The sequence below is a fragment of the Homo sapiens genome, chromosome 18 (genome assembly GCF_000001405.40).
Source record: "Homo sapiens chromosome 18, GRCh38.p14 Primary Assembly".
NCBI classification, from domain to species: Eukaryota; Metazoa; Chordata; class Mammalia; order Primates; family Hominidae; genus Homo; species Homo sapiens.
Genome location: NC_000018.10, coordinates 72,836,411 through 72,863,581, shown reverse-complemented (window position 1 = coordinate 72,863,581; position 27,171 = coordinate 72,836,411). Strand labels below are relative to the sequence as shown.

At 37.6% G+C, this 27,171-nt stretch overlaps 1 protein-coding gene and 1 non-coding gene across 15 annotated transcripts in view, besides 1 other annotated feature; both read left to right on the top strand.

Annotated features, from left to right (window-relative positions):
- The window catches only part of NETO1 (neuropilin and tolloid like 1), a 125,674-nt gene that overhangs the window by 4,406 nt on the left and 94,097 nt on the right, over positions 1-27,171 (top strand). For 13 of the 14 annotated variants that reach the window (NR_148694.2, NR_148695.2, NM_001201465.3 and 10 more), the window contains exon 4: positions 4,508-4,756. Coding sequence is in view for 11 of the 14 variants with exons in the window: in NM_001201465.3 (NP_001188394.2) it covers positions 4,508-4,756 (249 nt within the window). In the remaining 3 variants the exon portion in view is untranslated. Of the gene's footprint in view, positions 1-4,507; positions 4,757-6,280; positions 7,028-27,171 lie in introns of those variants that run through there. The other variant, XM_017026023.2, reaches the window with a different exon arrangement.
- On the top strand, positions 10,200-10,261 carry MIR548AV (microRNA 548av). The gene has a single exon (NR_049858.1). It is a non-coding gene; the product is annotated as a microRNA 548av (primary transcript).
- Positions 14,562-15,063: an enhancer, noted in NCBI's record as "NANOG hESC enhancer chr18:70515754-70516255 (GRCh37/hg19 assembly coordinates)". NCBI's record gives its function as "activates a minimal SCP1, AML or CMV promoter by ChIP-STARR-seq in primed H9 embryonic stem cells {active_cell/tissue: H9 hESC(primed)}" and the evidence as "EXISTENCE:reporter gene assay evidence [ECO:0000049][PMID:30033119]".

The window sequence follows — 27,171 nt, the reverse complement described above, 5'->3', positions numbered from 1 at the left end:
TAAGAAGGCAAAACAATTAGCTATGCTATTAAAAGGATAACACTGAAAACCTAAGGTCTGGCAGTGCAAATTCCTTTTACAACTGATAGAAAAGGTACTCGCTACCTGCCTCATAGGACTTAACAATATTCTCTGGGGACTATGTCCCTTTTTGTAAACAATCTAAAGGGGCCCTAGGATTAGCACAAAGTAGTTGCGACGGGGAAGCCAAAGAGAAGAATACAGGGAAGAAGAGATGCTCACCTTCATTTCTGAAGAATGTCCAGGGAAGGCATTATTCTCTACATAGAGCAGCGTATGCGGAAGTTCAGAGCTATGATATGGTTGGGGACCTTCGTGGCGCATCCTAGGGCTTCTGCAGAATCTGAGGAAAATACAGCAGGAGGCTGAAGAGGGAAGCAGTCTCAAAGAGGTACCTGGTATTCCTTCTGTGCCCACTGGATAAAATCTTGAACATTATGTTGGAGACAATGAGGTGCCATTGAAGTAATTTAACTTGAGGAATAATGTGAGATTTTGATGATGAAGCAACTGAAGGAAAAGAACATAAACTAAGAAACAATTCCAAAAGTCCAAGTAAATCATAATAAATACTTATACTAAAGAAGCGGCATCAGTGATGGAGTACATGAAAGAACTGAGAGGTATTTAAGAAACTGGATCGCCAGACGTGGTGGCTCACACCTGTAATCCCAGCACTTTAGGAGGCCGATGTGGGCGGATCACGAGGTCAGGAGATCGAGACCATCCTGGCCAATATGTTGAAACCCCGTTTCTACTAAAAATACGAAAAATGAGCCAGGCGTGGTGGCGTGCACCTGTAGTCCCAGCTACTCAGGAGGCTGAGGCAGGAGAATGGCGTGAACCCGGGAGGCGGAGCTTGCAGTGAGCCGAGATCGCACCACTGCGCTCCAGCCCGGGTGACAGAGCGAGACTCTGTCTCAAAAAAAAAAAAAAAAGAAAAAAAAAGGATCATGAGTGGCTGGATCAGGGGATCAGAGAATAGGGTATCCTGGGACTGTTCTAATATTTGTTGCTCGATAACTTGTTAGATAGACGGAATTGCCATCCCAGAAAAGAAATATAGACGGGAAAAATTGGTTTAAAGGAAAAATAATGTGTTTAGTTTGTGTTTATGGAGATGCTCCACAAAAAGATTGGATACATGTAGCTCTAGCTCAGTGGAGAGATAGATGTGTGCTGAAAATGTATATATGTACGTCATAAATATAGAGATTGTTGTTGAGATTGTTAGTATGAATAAAATTATCCAAGAGAATATTTGGAGCACTATTTTTCAACTGCTCTTAAAAATGCAGGTGCCTGGGCCTTTCCCCAGGAATTCTGATTTAATTAACCTTAGATAGAGCCCCAGCCACCATTATATTGTAGTAACCTTCCATTGGAATGCCCGTGGCACCCCGGTGTCTTCATCTAAAATGAGAGAACATAAGATGTAGAATAAATTTTCCAGAAAATAACACATAAGAGAGGGACAGAGTATGGGGAAAAAAGTAATGGAATGAGTAGGAGAAGCCAGAGAGTTAGGCAGGAGGGTCAGGTGCGCACGATGCCACAGCAGCCAGAGTGGATGGGGTCTTGAGAAGCAGGGAGTAGTCAAAGTGCCAGTTGTTACAGCAAAGAAAAATAAGTGAAAAACAGAAATGCATCTGTTACATGAAGCAATTAAGAGTTTGTTAGTAACAACGATGAGCACTCCCATTGGCATAGTGGAGATGGGTGGTTTTTTCTCTTTTAAAGGGGCAGATTGCACATATTTAATTCTAAAATGAATATTCTGTAGAGAAAGGTACATTTAAAATAGAAGAGAAAGAGGGATACATAAGTGGTCAGATTTCTAGAGGTATGACCCATTGTGATGAAGAATACAAGCGAGGTCCCAGTCACGAAAAAGAGGATCCCTTTTTGACTGTCAGGTGGCCTAAACATTCCCTCAAAATGGAGGAAATATTCTGTATATATGTGCACTATCCAGGTGAAAGTGCTCATAGTTCTCAGTGCGTCTGAAGATTCTCAAAGTGGTTGAGACCTCTCATGAACTAACCTCAGTGTTAGATCAAATATAACTTACAGAAATGTTAAAAGGAAGGGCAGCTGTGAAGAAAATTCTTGAAGGTGAAGCAAATTGAAGTTGAGAGAGTTAGAGAGCTTCAAATAGTTTCTATGTGCCATAATCACTCATTTTTAATCTAGCACAATAAGTATGTGGCAAACTTAGTTTTAAAAAGTTATTTCACTACCTTCTAAAATTCAGCTATGTAGGTTTCATTTCTGGTTGTGTGTCATTAACTTCAACATGCTGGACCAAAAGAAAATAAATCATCCACATACAATGTTGCCTACCAAAAGCCATAATGGCGGAATGTTTCCTGGGGAACATCGAGAGGTTGACTCAGCCACAGAACTTATGAAATAATAAGAGCGAAGGTATGGAGAAGTGAATTCATGTTAGATGGCCATTATTTCTTAGTAGGGGAAATTGGTGAGTGCGTGTTAAAAGATGACAGATAGAGTTCTAAGTAAATTAGCTAAGGACTGTCTTCATTGCTCTATCTTTCCCTAGCCTTACGTTATTTAAATTAACCTACAATCCGAAATAATTTGTTTCATCATAAAACTTGTTATACTGATTTATTGTGAAATAAACTGGTACATACATACTATAGGATGATAATGTATGCAAGCGCTATACTTAGTACTGATACATAAATGGGTCTAACTCCTTCAGATTTGCCTTTTTGTTTTAAGGCTGGCACTTTAAGCATAAAACATGGTTAGTCATTTCTTTGGGTACTTTCAAATTTCCAAAAAAAAGAAAAGAAAAAAAAAAACCACGTCATTGAAACTCCCTCAAATCTGTCATTATTGTGGTTACTCATTTGTTCACCTTTTTCATACAATTTAGTGATAGATAAAATATTTTTCTTGCATGAGTTATAAATGTCTCTTTTCAATGTATGAGTCTGAAACTTTTTTAGAAATTAAAGATTATTCATAAAATAATTCATTTTAAAAATGAATTGCCTTTAAACTGTTGATATTTAATTTTATACCTGGGGAGCATCAGAGTTACATTTTATTCTGTAGGTCTCCAATTTCCAAGTTATACTGTGTGTCTCAATCTTACATACATTTTTGAAAACCACGCATACCAGAGTTTACATTTTAGGTCATCATGGATGATGTTCCGTGTATATTTAAGAAGCAATGGGGTGTGGACAGCCACCATTCTGCATAGTTGCTGACCGTAGAGGGAGCAGGCCCGACTGTGCTAAGTCTTAACTTTCAAGTGTCTACAGGGGCTTAGTCCCTGAAAAGGGCCAAGTAGCAGGGAAGCACTCAGAGGGCTTCAGGCAACAGCTGTTTACTAACCGGGATACATATATGTTGACATTTCAGCAAATTTTATGGCCATTCTGGAGTATCCTGGCTGAATGTAAGTCTGAGATGCCAGAATTTTGGACTGTTTTGGACGTACCAGGGGAAGAATGAAAGACCATTAGCAAAAGCATTCATGTGGTGCTGTATAGAGTTGCCAGCCCTATAAAGCTTTCCCTGATTCTTTAGAGAGCTGTAAAAACATTTATGAATATACACTCATTTATAATTTACTGAAAGACTTTTTTTTTTTGGAAATTTTCGATGACAAATACTATGCTAAGCTCTGAGAAAGAAGGTGAGTGAGATATGGTTCTTGTCTTTCAAGATCAGATTTAGAGAGGAGGCTTCTTTAAAGCAAGTCTTTCCTGTGTAAAGAGGAGATAATGTTGGGTATGTAGATATTCAAAAATGTAAGAAAATCCATGAAAGTGTGAAGGAGCTTACTTTCTTAGAAGACAAGACATGTCTGAAGTGGTCTGAGCTCAGGCTCTCTGTGAGGGGATAGGGTCCTGGACGCAGGATATTCTTAACGGATAATGTGTGTTGAATGCATTGATCATGGTCCAGCTGCTGAGGTTGAAACCTGAGAGGGATGTGATCAGGTTTGTGTTGTAGAAAAATTACTCTTAATGTCCTTATATATGCATTTGGATCTGATCTAGACACATGGCTTGGATTATTTGAAAGATTATATTTAATATAACTCTATGCCAAACAATTCTCAAGTGATTTGTTACCTTAAACCTGAGTATTCCTGGAAATATGAGAAAAGAGACAGAAAAATATTCCTTGACCTTCTAACTCCAAGTTAACAGCCTTTCATAAAAATACTGTGCTTTGTTAGTCCTGCGCAAAACGTCAAAATGGTCATCTTGTATCAGAATAATATTTTATGCAACATCATCGGTTTTAAGTTTCACTCCTTAGACATTTTTATGAAAATTGTGTCCCGTAGAATAGTATCATATGCTTTCTTTATATTTCTATGCATATCATCCATAAAGTTTGAGAGAAGATGTACAAATAACATCTGAAATAGAATCAGAAAACATCAACCTGAAGATGTAAGAAATGACCTCCTAGACACAATCTTTCTTCTTTACAGCCGCTCCAAGACAGTGCATTGAACTTTACTTTGATGAAAAGTACTCTATTGAACCGTCTTGGGAGTGCAAATTTGATCATATTGAAGTTCGAGATGGACCTTTTGGCTTTTCTCCAATAATTGGACGTTTCTGTGGACAACAAAATCCACCTGTCATAAAATCCAGTGGAAGATTTCTATGGATTAAATTTTTTGCTGATGGAGAGCTGGAATCTATGGGATTTTCAGCTCGATACAATTTCACACCTGGTAAGTAAGTACTTAAAAAAAAAATTTCTTTTTCTTCCTCATTTTTCTATCTTCATAGTACAAAATCTTGTGTAAGACAACATTATACTTTCTCAGAGAATGTTCCAGTTCTATTTAAAACCAAATCTACAGTGCTTTTTCTTTTCCCTACACAAATTCTGAAAGGAAAAGATGTTTTCCTTAAAACAGCCTATACTAGAGGTAAAGAGTAGTGACTCAAGGCTCTAAATGGGCATCAGCCACATCATCAAGTGGACTTTTGTTATGATGGAATGTGTAATTGGAGAGACAGTCTGTGATAAGGAAACTATACATAGGAGCTGAATAAACTTGAAAAGACAATTGTAGTATTATAAAATATATCCACCAAAATGATCTTTGGGGAACTTGAATCAAAAGTTTATTTGTTCTGAAAATTACCGTGTTTCAATCAAATAGATCCTACTTTAGGAAGTAGTCTGCTCTCTTTTCAGGAAAGCAAATTCTTAAGAGTTTTGATGAAAGGAAAACTGAGACCTGTAACAGCCAAATACTCATTTACAAGGTCTTGCAGAAATTGTGTGCAATTATCAAATTATGCAATCTGTATCAATTTTCCTTTTAACTCGCTAGAATTAAAAAGATCCTGTGTTGTTGCCTGGCCCACTTGATTAAGAGTTACCATTCATTACAATAAAAATAGGATATCACATTTTTTCACTGCAAGAACACTACATGCATTAATTTAAATGGAAAAATGATTCAAATTACATAAAGCCCATTTTTTATATAGTTTGTTTTCAGTTTGTATGTATTGTTTTATTTAAGTTAGGCAATAGCATAATTTCAAATATATGTAAAGTTGGTTGAAGTTTGTATTCCATGTTAAAGAAGTAACATCTAAATACAGCTTTGATACTCAGTTAAAAAACTAAAATTTTAAAAATTATTAATATAAGTTTAATGATGACTTTCATTATGACATCATGGGGTATGTTAAATCAAGTATTTACTGTAGCATATATATTAGCTTTAAGCATTAGGAATGTTTTTAATAATATCACTAAAGGATTGTGGTTTTAATTATGCTTTGCTGATAATGGATTACTCACAGAAATCATGGGTATTTCATGTGCTACAGTCGAACTAATTTGAAGTATTCCCAAAAGGTACAAATGTTAGCTTAATTTGTTTGTTCAGATTATTAGTGCTAGAGTTGTAAATGGGAAGGTAGGTATTTTTTTCTTAACTGATAATTTTGAATATAACCTGTACCTAGAGACAGTGACATACGGCATGTTCTAGGTTTCATAAGTTATATTTTCATTCTGGTTTTGGTGATCATGAAAATAATGTCTTGGATTTAAAATTGTGGTTTCACAAAGAATGTAGTGTCAGCTGTCATGCTTTGTCAACATAAGCAATGCTATCCATGTTTCTGGCTCTATTTGAGATGACATAAATGGTGGCACCCAATCTGTTCTTCTAGGTTTTAAAAAACCTTTTTGTTCCCTGGGTTTTGTTCTTTGCTTTTTGTTTCTTTAGAGCCACCATACTGCATTTATAGAATGAGATTTCACTGCTGCGAACAACTGAATCAGAACGGAACTCTTGGAGATTTTTCCATGAAGTAGGACAGGTTAAGGATGGGCTGAGGCTTCTGTTTTTACTCAGATCAACTAGAGCAAAACTTCTGGGGAAACCTACATTTGGCATATGAGGGAAAGCTAGGACCATAAAAAGGAGACTTGGAAAACTTACATGACAGCAAAAGTTGACATTGTGTGGCCCAAGGCCATTGCCTGAGTGACGTAACCATCTACACCTCTTCTAGAAAGAGGCAGTATTAAGGAAGCCAATTACTTATTGAAATAGGAAGTGGGAAGGGATTAGTAATAATTTAGATAGCATTTAGGGAATCTGAAGCCAGGCAGGCTATAGTTGTCATTTTGGCTTAATTTTTATTTAGTAGTGTCATTCAACTGGTGACCTGGGGAAATTGAAGGAGGAAGAATTTCTCAAGTCAGCTTAATGATTTATGTTATGAAGCGTTACGAGAATTGCCAGGGCTCTGCAGTGAACTCACATTGGAGATGAAATTCCGCCTACCAGTTCATCTTAGAGAGATGATGGTCTCCAGGACAGCTGCGAGGAGCACTGAATTTGAAACTAGATCTGACTTCCAGTTCTGGCTTTTCTTTTCTTTGCATCACGTAAATTTTGAACACGGTCCTTTATATTCTATCTCTCAATATTTTTAATTATAAAATAAAAATAATATTGAGCAACTCACAGAATAGTTTGAGACAATTAACAAATGCATATTTATGAATTTCTTGAGTGCCTGTAAGAACTCAACTATCGATAGCTGTTGTTTTTATTAGTTTTATCATGTGCTTTTTAAAAACAAAGCATGCTTGGTACAGGTTATTGGGAAAACAAGTGTCTCAGACTTAAAAACAGTTCCTGAAATTTTTAGGTGGGTGCACAAAATTCCTACCTATACTACGTCACTTTTTTTAGTCTATGAAATTTAGTTACTTTAGATGAGCCCAGACTTCCGAGTAGGAGTTGTAGTTATTTCTAATGTCAGTCATAGAAAATGTCAAGGCAGTAATAGCAGCAGAAAGGCCTGGTGGTCCCTATTATTTTAATGAATTTATCACAATCTGGAATCTAGATGTAATCTCGCAGTCTCAGAAACTTTATGTAAACACATTGAGAGTGTACCCATCTCTTAGAAATGAATCACATTTGCCAAGCTAACAGGAATGAATATACATATATACACAATATTTATACATATGTATACATACTAAATACACATATACATTTTCATTAAGAATTCTGAGTATTACAAAGTCCATTTCTTCCTGCAAGCAAACATACCTGGGTGGACAGATTATAATCAAAACACTTCAGAGTAGTATGGAATCCAGGTATTGAAGTTGAGATGTATAGCATGCATATTTCATAAATATTGAACCAAAGGTTTGATAATTCATCTTCCTAACACAGGTTGTTTCTTCCAATGGTGGTTTAGCCCCCACACAGCCATGGGTCCCAGTGTCCAGTCTCCTGGTTCCATCTTGCCTGACTGGCAAACTAATTTGTGTAGGCTTTTATCGCCAGAATTTTTTTTCTATTTCTTTGTATCTGAGTCTATGACTTTCTTTCCTACTGAACTTAAAATAATAGCCTTTCAGTCCCAAGCTCTTGCTGTTCATAGTAGCTGTGCTTCTGAATTCCCATTTGTACGTGGGAACAGCCCAACTGGAGGTCCCGCACGGATGTGGAGGATACGGAGGCAGAGCGAGAGAGAATAGAAATGGGCTTAAAGGAGGCCCTTCTTTTTCTCCTGGCACATTTTGATGAATCCTCACTTTCTGGTTTGCTGACGGTTATTTTTACAGACTGTGTCATTACCCAGGTCCACAGTGCAGCGGTGAATCACCTAGGATTATAGTCTAGCATGCATAAGAAGGATTGTGAGATTGAGCAGTAATCAAGGAGAAATCAGCTGGTTCAAATCCTGGGTCTTCAAAGGATAAGAGTGAGGCTTGTAGAAGGGCCAGGGGGCGCAGAGCCTTGTGAGCACCCTGTGGATGATGCCCTGAAGAGTTCTCTTCTTTCTGTGTACTGAGCCTCTCCTCTGCAATATGCTATCCCAGTTCAGAAAAAGAAATAAGTGCAGAATCACCAAGAATGTTAAAAGTTACGCCATGGAATATTTGATAACTCAAACAATTTAATAAAAAATAGAAGACATATCAAAAGTGTTTATTGTATTAGAATTATATTGTTTTCTCATTTAAAAAGAGTCTTTAAACAAGTTTTAAATCAAGTTTGGTATATAAAATCAAATGACTAGAAAATATGTTGTGATAAAAGCAATTTAAAACAATAACGGTTACCTCAGATAAGGGATAGCAGGAAGAGGGGAATAAGGAGGATTTTAGAGGCCAAGATGGAGTAAAAATTGACTCAACTTTATTGATAATGCTTTAATTTTTGAAAGAATAAGATATTTTGGTATTACTTGTATAAATTATTTAACATCAAAAAACAAAAAAATAGAAAAGACTATACTTGATAATATTTAATGAATTTTTAGAAGAGGGAATACCACTTTCCATATTTCACAGACTTTTTTACTCAAACTAAGAATGCCTTTTGAGCAGAATATAACACTTCCCTGCAGCCAACTGCCTTGCCTAAATTTTCTTTGCACTTGAAAATGTAAGGAAGAAAATGTAACAGTATCTACTGTACTCCTCATTCCACTGGCATGACCCAGATCATTCAGATGCTCTGCTCCTGGAGAAGGTGGCCCTTCCAGTCTCTTTAATGACAGGTATCTTTTGTTGGTCTTATAATTTACTTCCTTGTGGGGAGATTTTCTGTCATTTACAGACATAGAATGGGATGTTTATGGACTTTTCCTTTTCAATGATAGTTTTCCTGTACTAGTTTTAAGGAACAAAGTTACACACATCCCACTGGAGAAATTGAAATTAAGGAATAGACCTCAAAGTACCAAATAGGTGAGGACTGAGTTAGGCATTGACATTGAAGTGAGTGGAGTTGTTAAATATATTGAAATTATTACGATATTTTGTACTTAAATAGCACCTTTCATCTGGGGAGCTCAAAGTGTTTTAGGGACTTTTTGCCCAACTCCTAGCCACCTCTCAAGCTGCATGCTTTGATGGACTTCAAAGGCAAAGGGAGAAATACACTGCACTGCAGTGATTTAAATGGAGTGTTTTAAACGGATTTCTATGCATATTAAATGAAATATATTATTAAAATAAAATATTGTCATGGATTCAATGTTATTTCAAATATTCGGTGCAATATTTTTCCTCTTTGGATCAGAAACGTGAATATATATGTATTAACCATTTCGAAAGTTTCTAAATTTTCTTAGCTAGATAATCAGAGTTCTGATAGGTGCTCTGGTAAGAAAGAAAAAAATCTTCGTATTATTTATTCAACAACTAAAGTTTCATTTAAATTTTGCACAAAAATATGAAAAATTAGAAAGTTTTAAAGGCTGAGATTAAAAGAAGACTTTTTTCTTTTTTTTTTTTTTGACATCTCACTCTGTTGCTCAGGCTGGCGTGCAGTGGTGCGATCTTGGCTCACTGCAACCTCTGCCTCCGGGTTTCAGTGATTCTCGTGCCTCAGTCTCCTGAGTAGCTGGGATTCCAGGCATGCAACTCCACGCATGGCTGATTTTTATATTTTTGGTAGAGATGGGATTTCACCATGTTGGCCAGACCAGTCTTGAACTCCTGGCCTCAAGTGATCCGCCCACCTCAGCCCCCCAAATGCTAGGATCACAGGCGTGAGCCACCACATCCAGCTAAAAGAAGGACTTCGATTTTTTTTTCCACATAAAAATAAAAGATTGAAAAAATTTAGGTCAGTATGTGTTGTCTTTTTAACTATGACTTGGTGCAAAAGTACTTGCGGATTTGCCATCACCTTTACCTTTAATGGCAAAACTGCAGTTACTTTTGCACCAACCTGAATGTTCTGTTTATACTACTGACTCAAAATATTCTCATTTCAGCCCTAGCAGAGGCTCTTAAATGGAAAAGGTAAGGAGCATAATCACATTTATTCTTGAGGCATATTTTTCAAGAAATGAATTTAAAAACTTGAAAATCACAGAGAATCACAGCACTGAGAAAATTACCAATGTGTGACAAGGTGCGGTGACTCATGCTTGTAATCCCAGCACTTTGGGAGGCTGAGGCGGGTGGATCACCTTAGGTCAGGAGTTTGAGACCAACCTGGCCAACATGGTGAAACTCTGTCTCTACTAAAAATACAAAAAAATTAGTCGGGCGTGGTGGCAGGCGCCTGTAATCCCAGCTACTCGGGAGACTGAGGCGAGAGAATTGCTTGAATCCGGGAGGTAGAGGTTGCAGTGAGCTGAGATCATGCCACTGCACTCCAGCCTGGGCAATAGAGCAAGACCCTGTCTCAAAAAAAAAAAAAAAAAGAAAAAGAAAATTATCAATGTATTGATATTTTTGAATAATCAAGATATTCATGTGAAGGTGATTTCTTCCATCTCTCACTTTTCTGGCCAGTCCATGACTTGGCTTACCTTATCTGTATAATAGTGGGCTCAGGAGGAGGGATGAGGAATGAAGAGAGACAGAAATCTTGTTTGGTCTAGGTGGGTGTTCAGGAGAAAAGCTGAGAGTGGGAGAGAAAATTTCCAGGATTAGCTCCCATCTGTGCAGAGAATATTGAAAGCAGTGGCAAAGGAAAAGGAAGATTTTTAAGAAGTTTCCCATAAAGAAAGAGTGTCTTCCGGCCGGGCACGGTGGCTCACGCCTGTAATCCCGGCACTTTGGGAAGTTGAAGCCGGCGGATCACGAGGTCAGGAGATGGAGACCATCGTGGCTAACACGGTGAAACCCTGTCTCTACTAAAAATACAGAAAAATTAGCCGGTCGTGGTGGCATGTGCCTGTAGTCCCAGCTACTCGGGAGGCTGAGGCAGGAGAATCACTTGAACCCAGGAGGCGGAGGTTGCAGTGAGCCGAGATCATGCCATTGCACTCCAGCCTGGGCCACAGAGCGAGACTCCATCTCAAAAAGAAACAAACAAACAAACAAACATGAAAAGGAAGAAAGGTGTCTTCCTCATCTTGTTTCCTGGAGAGGTGGAGAAAAGAAGAGTACTTAAGTGTGTTTATATTTATTTATCGGCTAATCGCCGGACTATGTTTTAAATAGAGTACATCTGAGATTGGAACACATGGGGTCCTAGATATATTTCCATTATTGATATATGTTTTCCTTAGATTAGAAAAGACCTTGGAATTTATTTCCTTCAACCTTTCTACTTAAAAATCAAGAGAGCAGAGTGCTAGAGAAAATGTGTGGCCTGGGTTCAGGTACTCTGTAAATATTAAATTACTACTTGTGTATCAGTTATATAAGCACGGTGCTGATACACCTTCTACAAAGTGTTGAGATTATAACTTTAATTACATCACATATTGCAAGTAATTTTAGTACGGTTATATTAAGAAATTTAATTAAGGGATAATACTATATATATCACCCGCGTTTCACCATTAACTGATACATGATTTTAAAATTCATCTTCTCCATGTTGTTTGAAATGTTTTTCCACTCGCAATGTCCAAAGAAAGGATGGTTTTTCGTCTCTCCTTCTACCTCAATTGTAAAATTGTGCCTTCTCAACCCATCTGAGCCTAAAGTGCATGATTCATTTCCTGTTCTTCTCAAATACCTATTATTACTGACATAGTCTTCTGTGTGTACCGTGCTCTCATTAGTTGAAACTTGTGGCTCACATGTTAAATACTCAAGGGGAAAACTTTAGTTTATTTCTCCTAGATCTCCCACGAATTTTGTTTTCTTTCTTTCTTTTTTCTTTTTTTGTTTTGAGGGAGTTTCGCTCTTGTTGCCCAGGCTGGAGTGCAGTGGTGCAATCTCAGCTCACCACAACCTCCTTCTCCCGGGTTCACATAATTCTCCTGCCTCAGCCTCCCTAGTTGCTGGGATTACAAGCATGCGCCACCACGCCAGGCTAATTTTGTATTTTTAGTAGAGACAGGGTTTCTCCACGTTGATCAGGCTGGTCTCGAACTCCCGACCTCAGGTGATCCGCCAGCCTGGGCTTCCCAAAGTGGTGGGATTACAGGCGTGAGCCACCATGCCCGGCCGATCTCCCACGAATTTTCCTGCTCCCTAACACCCAGGTTTCTTTGGGTTTTTCCTGTGATGCCGGTTCCTTTCGCTCACCTCCCACTCCATCCCTCTATTCAGGGCTGCTGATCCCAGCAGTACACAGGAAAGACACTCAGTTGCAGCACAGAAATGAGCTCGTTCCATGCACATTCAGATTCCCCAGAGCAGGGCTCCATCCAGAAGTGGGACTGTTGGCTAATCTACAAAATGTTGTTTTATGGAATGGTAGAGGCCTTGCTTGGGTCAGTCCTAAGGTTACCTCTATGTCGAATCCCATCATCAAATGACCAGCACCCACACCCCTCACTAAATTTCCCTAAAGATAAATTGTATCACTTGACAAGAGAAAAACTCAAGAAACATGACAAAAACAAAACAAATAAATAATTCTTACACTCAATCTCCATTTTGAACTTTCATGCATCTCAATGTCTTTAGTTACTGGGCTTCTTGGTAAAATCTTCTGAAATCTCTGACTAACATTTAACTCATTATTGTATTCAAGAAACATGCTTTTCAAATTACTAAAGCCCTGTATATTTTTCCTAAGAAAATATTGACGAGTCTATTTATTCTCCTAAACATTTCCTTTCATAACAATTTGCAGACAATTTGAGGCTTATTTTTATTTAATTATTTGAAAACTAAATCAAGGAATTATAAACAACCCATAGTGTTCTTTGTCTAGACCAAAACATTTTTCCTATTATATTTTATAATTTGCATGCCATTACAACTACTTGAGTATAACTCATGTTAATATTCTTAAAGTGAATGCACAGAAGACCTTGATTTCTACTAGGTGATATTAGCCACCTACACTTATTTAACAACTGTTTATTGATCCACTATGCTAACACTGTAGAAATATAGTATCTGCAAGACCCTAGCTTTCATACAGTGAGTTCATAGTCTGTTAAAAACTAGAAGCCATGTATAGTAGCCAGATAATATACCCTCCCCACAAGATGTCTATGTCCTAATTTCTGCAATCTATGAATATGTCAAGTTCTATGGCAAAGAGATGTGAAGGTGGAAAGTTGTATTAATAATGCTAATAAGCTGACTTTAATAAAGGGAGATTATCTTGGATTATCTGGGAGGACCCAGTGTAATTACAAGGCTTTCTCAGTATGTAACGAAGGAGGCAGTAGGGTCAGGATCGGGTGATGGGATGTAAGAAACACTCCAGCTGCTATTGTGGGCTTTGAAGATGGATGAAGTGGCAGCAAGCCAAAGAATGTGGACAGCTTCTAGAACGGAAAAGACCAGGTATGACTTGTCTCCTGCAGCCTCCAAGGAAAGGAACACAGCCCTGCAAATGCCTTGATTTTTAGGCCAGTGAGACCCATTCAGATTTCTGACATCAGAACCAGAGATAAATTCCTGTTGTTTATTAAGGTTCTAAGTTGTGGTAATTGTTAAAGCAACAAATAAGAAACAAATACTTGATTTTATTTCCTAAAAGTGAAGTGCTACAGTAAAATAAATAAATAAAAACCTTAAAATTTGGAAATAGTTTTGGAATTAGGCAGTTGGCAAAAGCTGGAAGAATTTTGAGAAGCATGTTAGAAAAACGTCTATATTGCCTTAAACTTACTGTTAGTAGAAATATGAATCTTACTGACTCTGGCACAAGGACACAGAAGGAAGTGAGAAGCATGGTAGAGAAAACATGCATGTCTTAAAGAATACCTAAATCTTCATCAACAGACTATTTGTGGAAGTATGAAGTTTATAGGTGCTGATGACGACAGCTCAACAGAAAATGGAATATGTGTTTGGAAACCGACGGAAAGGGTATATCTGTTATGTTGAATCACAAAGCTTAGTAGAATTATATCCTGGAGTTATATGGATAAATAAAAAAGCAGAACATTATGCAATTAACTTGGATATTTAACTTTAAGGAATTTATTGTCAATTAAAATGTAAGCCCCTTGGATGAGATTGGAAAAGCATGCCTTAGAGAATAAACTGAGCTGGACAACTTTTTGCTGATCCCCTAGAAAGATCAAAAGATCAGAGAATTCAGTCTCACAAAAGGCTCTTTGAAATGATTAGGAGTGTGACTCATAAAGCTCTTCAGTCAGTCATCTCAGCAGAATCCAAAAATAGGATGAGATTATCTAGAAAAAAAATTCTATGAAGAAAATCTTTGGCTAATGGAGTGAATCTGAGGACATACACAGGAGACACACATGGTTCTTGAGAATGTTCCATCAGCATAAAGGTTGCCATCTTGAACTAAAGGAGACAGATATAAAGATTGAAATGGAAAAAGGGCGTCAGAACTTTCAAATGCCTACAAGCAAGAAACATTCTTATGTAACTATTCAGCTGCAGGTGTGCTACTGTGTCAGTAGGCTGACTCAGGAGGCAGAAACCTCAAGTCCACAGGGTGGGGAGTTAAGTCCAGAAGGTAGAGCTCAAATGACAGAGTACAGTCTCAGCCCTTGAAACCAACTGGAATTTGTCAACTGTATTTCACAACTGCTTGGAACTGGTGAATTTCTTTCTTTCTTTTTTAAATTCTTCTACTTTTTCTTATTTTGAGCAGGAATATCCATAGATGTTATTGTTTGCCTGCCCTACCATTGTGTTTTTGGAGCCGGTAACATATTTCTTGAATTTTATGGCTCAACGATGGAGAGAAATTGTGTCTCAGAGTGGATCATGCCCAGACCCTCACTCATACCTGATTTTAATGATGTAGATGGTGTGATGTGGGACTTTTGAGCTGATGAAATTTGGACTTTGAGTTGATGCTGTTGAGACTTTTGGGCAACATGGGATGGGTGAATTTATTTCATCTGTGGGGTTGATATGAATCTTGGTGGCCAGATTTAGGATTGGTAGGAAGAAAAATGACACATAATGGTGTCTGCATTTTGAGTCTGGAGCCTGTGAATATGTTATGTTACATGGCAAAAGGAAATTAATGTCGCCATCAAGTTGACTTGATGATAGGGACATTATCCTGGCTTTTCTGGGAGGGCTTAGTGTAATATAGGCAGCCTTCAATATGGAACAGGGAAGTAGAAGTGTCAGTGCCAGAAGGCACAATGTGAAAAAGACTCAAATTATCTCTGTTGGCTTTGAATATGGAAAGGCCCATTAGCCCTGGAATGTGGGAAGTCTCTTGATCCTGAAAAAGGCAATGGAAACATTCTCCCCTAGGGCCTGTAGTAAGGAACACAGCTCTGCTAAAACTGTGATTTTACCTCAGTGAGATACATTTCAGCCTTCATATCACTTTGAGGAGTGATACAGAATGTAAATAAACAATGTAAGGTTTTACTGGTGGATGGATGGAGAACATAATAATTTGGGTCTACCAGTCCAAACTTTGAAAATACCTTCGTTCCAAATGCACCAAATGCAGGATACACAGTTCTCCGTTCTGGACTTTCCTACACTTAGATTAAAAATCTATATCTAGATAACTGTATGTGTATATCTTTTTATATCATCTGATTTTATATGAATGCCATTTTTATGCATAAATATGGCTAAAACCCCAACAGAATAACTTGCAATCCTTCCCAAAGATGTGCATGGGACAGTGGTGTTTTTGTTTGTGGCAATAATAGCTATTTGTAGAACCTGGCACTCTTTAAGGCTCTGCCTCTTCATGGCATATTTGCCTGATGCCTTTGCTTCAAAAGAGCTATGCTGTCTGTTCTCACTTGCTCAGCTGGCTCGCTTCCCACCATTCCACAGCTCTGCTGACTTGCTTGAAATTCAGCTTCAATGTGTCCTCATGGCATTTTCCCTTTCCAGCTACCTTCAGACACCTCACTTCCACTATACTACCCCAAGAATCACAGAGTGATTACACTAAAGTATGACTGTTCACAATCAGCAGGGCATGTGCCCACGAAAGAACTATAGCTGACTTTTTAAAGCAGGAGGATATATTAGTCATAAATATGTCACTTCTCTTCTGTTTTCTATTCATCATACCCCAAATCAGAAGACTGTTCTATTCCCTGGGAACTTTTCTTCAGAAATTTGCACTTCAAAGCCCCAAGAGTTTTCTGTAAGTAATTCAGAGAGAAATGCAGTTTTACAGGTGTGATAACAAAAACCAGTGCAACCTTAAAACATTCTCCAACTTCCGTTTTGCTTGCCCATGCAGTCTGAAAGGAATGCGTACTTCCTTTGGCAAATTTGGCGCGCAAACAAAGTAGAATTTGTGGAATGGTCAGTGGCTGTCCCGATGAAATAGGAAGGCACAGATGAGGGTTGCCATGGCAATGATAAGTAAGATCTAAAACAGAGAGAATTTCCATGGGCATAAAATGAACTGGTCTTTCAGAGATCTGCTGTTGTAAATAATAGGTTAACTGGTGGGAAAATTATTTCTAGCTTTTTTGCACGTGCACACGACTTTCTCCTAATAATCATCCTTAAGTAATATCTGCGTCTCAATTTTAAATAAAAAAAGATTATAAAAAAATACAAATATGCTTATTTTCTGTTTATAAGTGTTTTACCTTTGACATTATTTCAATTTTGTCCATTTTATTCTTTCTTTCACTTACATAAGCAGGGGCTATGCATCTTCTTTTTTTTTTTTTTTTTTTTTTTTTTTTTTGAGATGAAGTCTCACTCCATTGCCCAGGCTGGAGTGCAGTGGCACGATCTTGGTTCACTGCAACCTCCGCCTCCCAGGTTCAAGCGATTCTCCTGCCTCAGCCTCCCCAGTAGCTGGGACTACAAGAGCACGCCACCATGCCCAGCTAATTTTTTAATTTTTTTAGTAGAGACGGGATTTCACCATATTGGCCAGGCTGGTCTTGAACTCCTGACCTCGTGATCCACCCACCTTGCCCTCCCAAGATGCTGGGATTCCAGGTGTGAGCCACAGCGCCTGGCCGCATCTCTTTTATTGACAACTCCTAGGCTGTGCCTCTTCCGTGGTCTCCTGCTTGCTCCTCTTGGCTCTGAATCAACATTGTATCTTTTGACCCAGTCAGCCCCAATCTTTATTTTTTTGGTTTGCTCTCACATTTTCTGGAAAAAAATCCAGATACAGTTTCTATCTGAACTGTTTATGAGCCTTCAGCGTAGGAGATATGTAGTGATTATACGAATAGACAGGGTATTTAGTTTCCTGTTAAACTTGCTGGCACTGACATTTATGTTCATTGTGCTAGACTTTTCAGTCTCTAGCTTGAATTGGAAATAGCTTTCTATTCTAACAACAATGTATATATTCTCTTCTAGACTGCAAAGTAATACGCCATAAGGGCCAACTCTTAATTTAAGACAATATGATTATAAACATGTGATTTGCTCTGTTGTTTGCAATATCTCACATTTAGTGTATGGTTTGGATGAAATATTCTTTTATACCATGTTCTAGAAAAGTTTCTCAATGGTTTGAAGTTATTTTCCTGTAACCTATACTTCCCCAGAAGGGAAAAATATTACTAATCATTTGAGGCCATACTTCACTATACACATTCCACTAAAAATAATTTTGTTTGAGTTTTGCCATTAAAATATGTTACATGATGCTCGGTTGTTTTGAGACATACTGACCAGATGCCAAATCATTGTTGTGGTCTATTTGTGTAGGTCTTCAGTTTTTCATATTTGTATAAACTTAGATTTTTAGTTTCATATAATATTAAATATTACTATCATATATCATTTATTTTTCTATACTGTATATGTTATATATACAATAGTTGCATGAAACATAGTTAAACATGGACTACAGTGCTAGGTTGTCTGAGGTGGAATTCTGGCTCAGCCACTTTCTGGCTATGACTTTGAGAAGCAGCAATCGACTTAATCTCTCAGAGCTCCAGATTTCTCATGGGATCAGCACTTGACAGATAGCATTACGGATTTTTCTCCCTAATGATACAGTCAGGCTACTTATATTACTTCACAGGTGGTCACATGAGATCACATTGAAACCTCTGCTTCATCATTTCACAGATTCATTCAACAACAGGTTATTAACCCATACTTGGTCATTAAATTATTACTGTATACAAAATGTTGAGATGTTAGAATGGTTGAGATGCAGCATCTGCTCTTGAGCTTACAGTGTGTTTATACCCAGTTTGGTGAGCGCCATGGCATGTGCGTAATGTGGGGTGCACCTGGAGGAGAAGTGGGTAACACTTGATGTCACGTTAAGACCTGCGCTTCAGTGCTGCTTCCCACAGAGCCCTCACTGTGTCCTCAGGATGGATGAGGTGTGTGACGTGCTCACGTAGCCACAGCTCCATCACACCCTTGTGAAGTGCACTGCAATCAAACATTCTTTCTCTATATGGACACCAAGCTTCCTGAAAACAAAAAAACAAACAAAACCCAACAACCTCGGTTTACATCTTTAAATTTCCAGTGCCTCATCAGTGTTTAGCCACAACTGATGCTTAATGAAATTTACCTGAATGACTATCTAAATGAGTCAACGAATGAATAAATGAATAAAATGAAATAAAGCATGTAGAATGAGTGAGACGCCAGATACGAAAAAATCTGTTCATGCGTATCTGGTAGACAAGACCATTTGAAAAGTAGGTGTGTAACTTTGAAAGGAGAGGAGGTTAGGTAAGACTGAAGTCTGATTCAGATTGCGAACAACTCTGGAAATCATGCCAGTGATTCACAGACAATTTTAGAAAGTGTGGGAAGTATATTAATGTTTTAAATTGAATAGTGATGTTTGAGACCTCCATTGGAAGAGTGCGATGTATCAGAATGTGGATGATTGAGCAGAGAGAGAACAAAGGAACAGAAAAATAAGACGATTAAAATACAATTAAAAATGATGCAATAAGAAAGTGTTAGAAGCAATCTTACAGTAGTGTCTGTGACAATGTAGTGAAAGAAGAAACTTGGTATCAATAAAATTTGGTGAGATGAAGTCTGTGTGTTGAGAAAGAGAAGTAGAAACGACTGTGGCTGCTGTTCTTAGTAATTTGGTGGTTGGTTAATGTCATATATTTTGCTGGAAAAATAAAAGAATGTTCTGTTTGCTTTTAAAGACGTTTCAAGAGACGTAACAATGAGATACCTTTGTGAGCATGTCAGATATTTAGAACTGAAACAGAGAATAGTGACCAGAAAAGGTGGAGAGAGGAGCTTGTTGGAGAACTAAGTACAAAACTGCAACTACTGAGACATCCGCATATTAAAATAGAACATTATATGAGTTTGAGCTAATACGCTTATCTAAGCAAATTAGAACACGGTGTTGTGTATTTTGGAATTTTACATTTTATTCAGTCCTAGCCTCTTATCTTACAAACAATCTTAGCGAGTTACCAATTGGCACCAGTTTTTTGGCGGGATAGGTAGACTGACCCTAAAAATACGCTTTATATTTTAAGGTAAGGGAAGAGTTTTTCTTTTGTCCCATGCTTGAAGCTTTCTCCTACAGAGGGACGTTTTTTTCTGAATTATGGCGGTAGCTACTTTCCTGAGGCTGGTTACCAAAAAAGGAGCTTTCTTGGTCTATTTCTGAAAGGCACAAGGGTACACATGAGCTACACCGCATATGAAATGACCAGATCATGTACTAATATTGGGTTTAGTAGTTCATTTTTTTTCCGGTATAACTTTGTCATGCTTCCTTTTAGGAATGGCCTCATTTATTTCTACCTACTTTTGAAAATATCATAGTATCTCTATTATCAGGATGATTTCAGATGTCCTGCAAGATTTGAGGAAATACATTTGGTTCAGCTTTTAAAAAGGAGGGTGGTAGAGAAAAGAGTAACTTTTTTTCTATTCGTTATTTCCTTGTCATTTAGACAATATTTGCTTTACTCCTCTATCTGTTGTTTGATTCTCTCTGCTAGGATTTACACTAATTGCAATTGCAAGCCATAGCACAGTAAAGTTAACAATATTAATGACCGTTGACTACAATTTAAGTGATCGGCATAAGAACGGGTAAAATATTTTGGAAAGCATTTTTGATACATATTCCTACATGTTTACAAAAATAACTTCTTTCTTATCAAGCATGTTTGGTTTTCTTTATTAGATTAAAACATCCCCTCCCAAATTTCCCCATAAAATTTTCCAGCAGAATAATATGTGATAAATTAGGTACTCAAAATTAATTCAAGTGAAATAATGGTATAATGAGGCAGTGATTTCTGCTTTCTAAAAATGCCGTTATAAGAAATTCATCTTAATAAAAGTAATGAATTATTGAGCTCTTATTATATGCCAAGTATTGTTCAAAGCACTTTGTACGCATTGTTTCATTTTAGTTTATAGCATACCTATGAGGTATGCTATACCTATGAGGTGTGCTATACCTATGACGTATTATTGCCATCCTTATTTGGGATTAAAAGACTTAAAATGTTTAAATGAAGAACCCAGATTCATCTCTCTAGCAAAGCTGAGATTTTTACATGTTGAGCTATCCCATTGTCAACAAGTAAATGCCTATTGGCTTCAGGCTTAACTTCTCAAAGACACCAATTTGTTCAATCTTTGTGATTCTATTGGGATGATTTCAGTTGTTCTCGGTGATTCTAGAATTTATCTTTGCTTTATGCTCTTAACATCTTTGATACAACATTAATAATTGTCCCTATATCATGATTTAAGCAAAAATTTCCCCTGGATTTACAAAACCTTAATTATGGTATTATTGACTTCATCATTGGTGGCATCATCATCATCATCATCACCATCGCCATATTAGCCATCAAAAATAATAATCAATATTAGCAATAACAGTGCTTATAAATTATATCCCATGAGTTTATTCGAAACTCGTAACAATAATATTCTTTGTTGTCATACATGTGTATACATATAATATATAATATTTACAACAGGAAAATAATTCCCTCAATCGATGTGTTGTCAACTAGTGGAAAAAAATGAATAACAGTTTCAAATACTGAGGTAATAATTGACTTCAGCCTTCTTTATTTTGAACATTTCCCCCCACAGGCACTACTCTGCATTTTTGCATACCTTAAAACAATTAATTTTGAAATAATATTAAACTTACAGAAAAGTTGCAAATACAGTGCAGTATCTTCCCTCCCTCTCAGGAAACTTCTGTATACATTTTATTTATTTGTTTTACTAAGTGGAAAAATAGCATCATTCAGCTTTACCTTTTCATAAAATTTCAGAAAGAGCTAAATGTCTTTTTTCTTAGTCACATTTCCTTGGCCATGAATTTCAAGGTGGCACAAGCCCTTGGTGTAGTTGTTGCTGGCAGGTGGCAGAGCATGTGACACAGTAAAACAAACACAGCAGATAAAGGAAAGCAGATTTGGAAAGCAAGATGGACCTGTGATTGTTCCATTTCGGGCATGCTCCATCAGTGAGAATAAAGTGACTTTTTTTTTTTTTTTTTTTTTGTTGAGGTAGAGTCTCACTCTGTCTCCCAGGCTGGAGAGCAGTGGCACAATCTCAGCTCACTGCAACCTCCGCCTTCAGGGCTCAAGCAATTCTCTTGCCTCAGCCTCCTGAGTAGCTGGGACTACAGGCGCACACTACCATGCCCGGCTGATTATTTCATTTTCAGTAGAGATGGGGGTTTTACCATGTTGGCCAGACTGGTCTCAAACTCCTGACCTCAGGTGATCCACCCGCCTCAGCCTCCCAAAGTGTTGGGGTTGCAGACGTGAGCCACCGCACCCGGCCAAAATGGCCTTTCTGAGCTTGATTTCTCTGCCAATTGCTCGTTATACTGCTTGATCCAATTTCTCAAGGATTAAATAAGATTCTGTAAGTGTAACCTGTTCGAAAGGATCCTGTGCAGCTTCTTCTCTCACCGTGGACCTGTTTATAGACTGGTCTCAGAAACCATTTCATCCTGCCATCTCAGAAAACACAAATATAATAGCAAAGTCATTGATCCACAATGCAAATTTTGTTCAAGCTTCTCAAGAACCTGGGTTAGGTAATTACTTCAAATACCAAAAAACACATTTCCTAAATATATTTTTTAAACACAGTCTGGCCATCAGCCTGGCTTCAGCTTCCTCCTCTCCATTCCCCTGAAGACCAAAACAGCAGCTAGAAGAAGAGTAGTCACCAAAACAGAAACTTGGCAGTTAAATAAACAGCTGTTGTTCTTGAGGCTTGTGCTGCTAATAGGGGCAAGGAAAGAACTCCCTCTTTTGAAAATTATGTAGAAGAGTGCTCAAGACTACATGGGTTAGTGGGACTCTGCAAATGGTAGTTAACAGCCTTACATTTAACTATCTGATAGTTGACGTTCACCTGTTCTGCTTAGTGTGTACTAAGATTTTCTTTACTGTACTATTGTGATCATTTCTAATATCAGTCACTCTACCTGAATCCCTAAAACAAACATTGACTGGTCTCACTAGGAAATTTACCCTACTTCACCTTACTTTAAACTTCAGTTAGCCACAATCTTTTATCTGAATGGTTGGTTAAGTCTAAGAATATAATTTCCAAGAAGTTCTTTCTTTTTAAAAAAAAAAATCTCTGAATTTCCTGTTGGAGCAAATTCAAATTTCCTGTTGGGTTATATAATGCATGATTTGTGGAAAATTTCTCTAGGCTACTAACAGGCTTTTTAAGATCTTTATAAATCACCCTCAGTAATTGCCCTCCTATTGCTCATATCGTTGGAAGGATGATGCTTGAAATGTGAGATACTTGACTGGCACTCAGCGATTTGTTTGTTGCAGTGTTTGTTTGCCTTTAATTAGTGCTCTGATCATGTGGATGATAGCTTCTGGGCTAGGTCACCTAACTGCCCGCATGTAGCAAATGGAAAGGAGGAACTGTGGTGAGCCCGTGGGTAGCTTCCATTTCTGCACTTCCTCACTTGTCTGCCAGGCTTTCCTTTTCCTCAGTTCTCACCTCAGAATCTTATCTGGTGTCTCAATCATGCAGACATTATTCTGAGCTAGTGTCCTCACTGGAGAATGTCCCTGTCAACCAATCCTTACTGATGAGGAATTTTACATAATGAGGACTTTTATTCACTCCAGCTAGGGCAGTCTGCATTTTAAATGAGGATTCACAAAGACTGAAAACCATACTGTTTTCAAAGGAATTAAATGTGGAGGATATACTTCTAGACTATAAGACAAGCTACAGAGAGGCAGAAACAACTGACCAACAGCATCGCAGCGTTCTTTAGCTCCTATAGTTCATGCATTTATTAACTGGATGTTCATTGAGTACCTACTGTATATTAGGCACTGGAAGCAATGGATAAAAAGTCTGTCCCTCTTCTCCAGGAGTAGCAGACAAACAGAAAATATAATTATGGTAAATACAAAGGGCTGTGGTTAAATTTAGGACAAAAAACTTATAACATGTCTTAAACATGCTTGAAAATTTGGATCACAGGAAAAGTTTGCCTCTTCCCATTTTTCTGTTCCTTTCATGTAGATATTACTCTATTTACACTCTATCTATACCTTAGGGAGGGTGTCTGCACCTTTCATGTGACAACAGTTAAAAGAAATAGGCATTTTAGAGGCAAATGAGTTTTATTGAAATAAGAGAAAGTTATCTCACCTTCAAAGCCCATGTTCTGATAGGCCCTGGATCAAGAACTTGTCCATGTGACCTTAGGAGTCCTTTAGGCACTTAAACCTCCAGTTCTCAAAGAGATGCATAGAACTTTCTGTCATCCAAGAGTGTTGCAGCTTCAGTGTTTTAAAATTGTAAAATTGTTCACTGTTCCATTAAAACTGCTTTTAAGAACATTTATCCCTTGATTTTTCAAAACAAAATTGTATCGTTTTTCCTGTGTTCCTGTTGTATAGATGAATCATTCAAATTTTGGAGTAGTTAAGTGGCTTATGCACATTGATACAACTAATAACTGGAGAGCTAATATCCAAACCCACTCTTTATAACTTTAAATTCTTCTTGCTTCTTTTTACTCATACTGGGATTCAGATTCTTCATTTCATACTCAGTAGAGTTTCTCCTTGATACCCAGTTCTTAACAACAGCCTTGGGATAAAAAAATTGATCATTTATTTTATTAACTTTCTTTTGACATTAAGCAACAGTTTAAATTTGTTAAAGGTCAAGCGGTTGTGAATGCTTAGTGGTACAGTAGGAAAATAATAATAACAACGGGCAAAATCTTTTTAGATCATTTATGCTTTATCTGTTTTAGCTTCTAAAACAATCCTGAAGGATGAATAATTATCATGAGTATAGCAGAGTTTAATTTTCCCTGTTGCTCCAAAATTTTAATGAAAACTTTACGGTTGAGAGAAATAGGTAAATAAAAAAACTTCCTAAAATTCTAAAGACAATTGTTGAATAAAATTTAAGTAAATGAGTTTGTGCTTCATATTTAACTTTTAACTTTCCAATAGGCTTTATTAAATGGAAAACTGAAATTTACAAAGTCTTAGAGTAGAAGCATTTTTATCCTGGCTAGGGATTCTCTAAGAGAACCAGTAGCACCAAGATGCACTGGAACAGTGCAACAAGAGAGTTCATGCCTTAGGGTTTAGAAGCATACAAGCAAAGGGAATGGTGCCCACTTCTTACTAGAAAAATTTCACAGGCTGGAGTCTGGGCGGAGGAGCCTGGGATGACAGTAGAAGTGTGCAGGAAGCACTAAGTCAAGCCTGTACTACCACCTCTTGGTTTAACAATAATGTATAAGTTACCTACAAGCCAAGTGGTCACTGCTGAAACCATCTTGAAAGAACCTGCCCATCCAGGTGGCATATCAGGGAGATGAAACCTAGAGATGTCACAAGACTCATCTTAAGATGTCAGTCAAAGAGAATTGGTCAGGAAGGAGTCCAAAGTGCTCACATAACTATGTCCTCTGAGTGAGAACCGTGATGTAAATACCTGCCACTCACAATGTATTCATCTGAAGCCTAGAGTTAACCACAGATATCACCAGCTAAAGGTACAAACTTTTTCTCCTTTGTCTTTAACCTCTTTCTTAGCTAGGGAGTTGCAGAAGATGAGAGGGGTGAGGGAACCAGGAAGAAGGAGGACAGGCTTGTTTCCTTTTTCTTTCTGTAGGTCTCTCATAGAGATACCTGTCATAGGGGATGGTGATGGGGACGGAGAATGTTTTGTGTGGCTATTGTAGAGATACCTGTCATAGGGGATGGTGATGGGGAGGGAGAATGTTTTGTGTGGCTATTGTAGAGATACCTGTCATAGGGGATGGTGATGGGGACGGAGAATGTTTTGTGTAGCTATTGTAGAGATACCTGTCATAGAGGATGGTGATGGGGAGGGAGAATGTTTTGTGTGGCTGTTGGCTCTTACGCAGCTTTACTATCAGAAAGTGAGTCCTAAAAGGTTTTTGTTGGTGGTGGTGTTTGTTTTTTAAGAACTGAAAATCTATAGGATCCCCCCAAGCTCTCATTCAAGGACAAGGAAAAGGAAATTCTACATTAGCCAGAGCATATAATTGGAAATAAAGTAATATTATTATTCTTTGAATACCATAGAGATAAGTTCAGTAAATCAGTTACATATATAACTATATTCCTATATTATAATTAAGAAAATAGAAGCTTGGGAAAGCTAAGAAACTTTGACCAAAAATCAGCCACTTTAAAAATTGCAGCCTAAAAATTTCCATCTTGTGTTGTCTGACTCTAAACCGTTGCTGTTAACTTCTGTGCAGTTCGTCCTATGAAAATCAAAATGATTAATTAGGTTTAGTCACAGATATTGTCACCGTAAGGAAGAATAATACTTTGACTCAGTTTTTATTTTACTGACCAATGCAATGATTACTTTTTCTTATATCCAGACCACTTGGCATTCGCTTATTTATCTTACTGCATTTTCTATGGAAATTCAATTCAGAATTCAGAGCTATGTACCAGGAATTCCCTAGATGTACCCTGCACATGTTTATGATGTCCAAACTTGCGCTCATTTGCCCCAGATCCCCAAATGAATGCCACATTCTGAAAAATACCCCAAGCACAAGTTTTTTCCTGTTTATTGAACAATAGCACAATATTCTCTTGTGAACAATAGAATATTATTATTCTGTTGAACAATAATACATCTTGATTTATTGAAGATTAGCACAATATTTACACGGAAATTCAAGTCCACATCACACGAGACATATTTGACTTATCCTTTTCCTTCTATCTTCAGTCAATCACGGATTCCTGGGGGATCTGCATTCTAAAACTTCTCATGTGCTTTTCCTTTTCTCCATTCCTACAGGCATTACATTTGTTTTTGTACCCAGTATCTCACCTGATCAAATTTAATAGCTATCTCCTTTCTTTCAAACATCTTTTCTATTGATGTAGCAGAGTTAGATCCGAGATACACGAAACAAAAATCTGATTGTATCCATCCCCGGATTAAAATTGCTCAGTAGCTTAGTATACCGTTTCTTACCATGACAATCAAGGGCTTTAACACTCTCATCCCTGTCTGTACAACCAGCCTTCCTTCAGTATCCTCCCTCTGAAACAAGTCCTCCATTCATGCAAAACGATTTGCAATATAAATATTCTGTGCTTTGGTTTATGTTTATCCTGCCTGTGATGTCCTTCTTAACTCGTTCATTTATTTATACATTTATTAATCAGATAAATATTATGTACTTGTTCTATGTAAGCTTCTACTGTACTAGGTACTGGGAACACGGTGAATATCCAGACCAATGTGGACCTCAGTCTTAAGAACCTCAGTTAGAAATATTAAGTCACATATTTAAATCATTAATTAAAG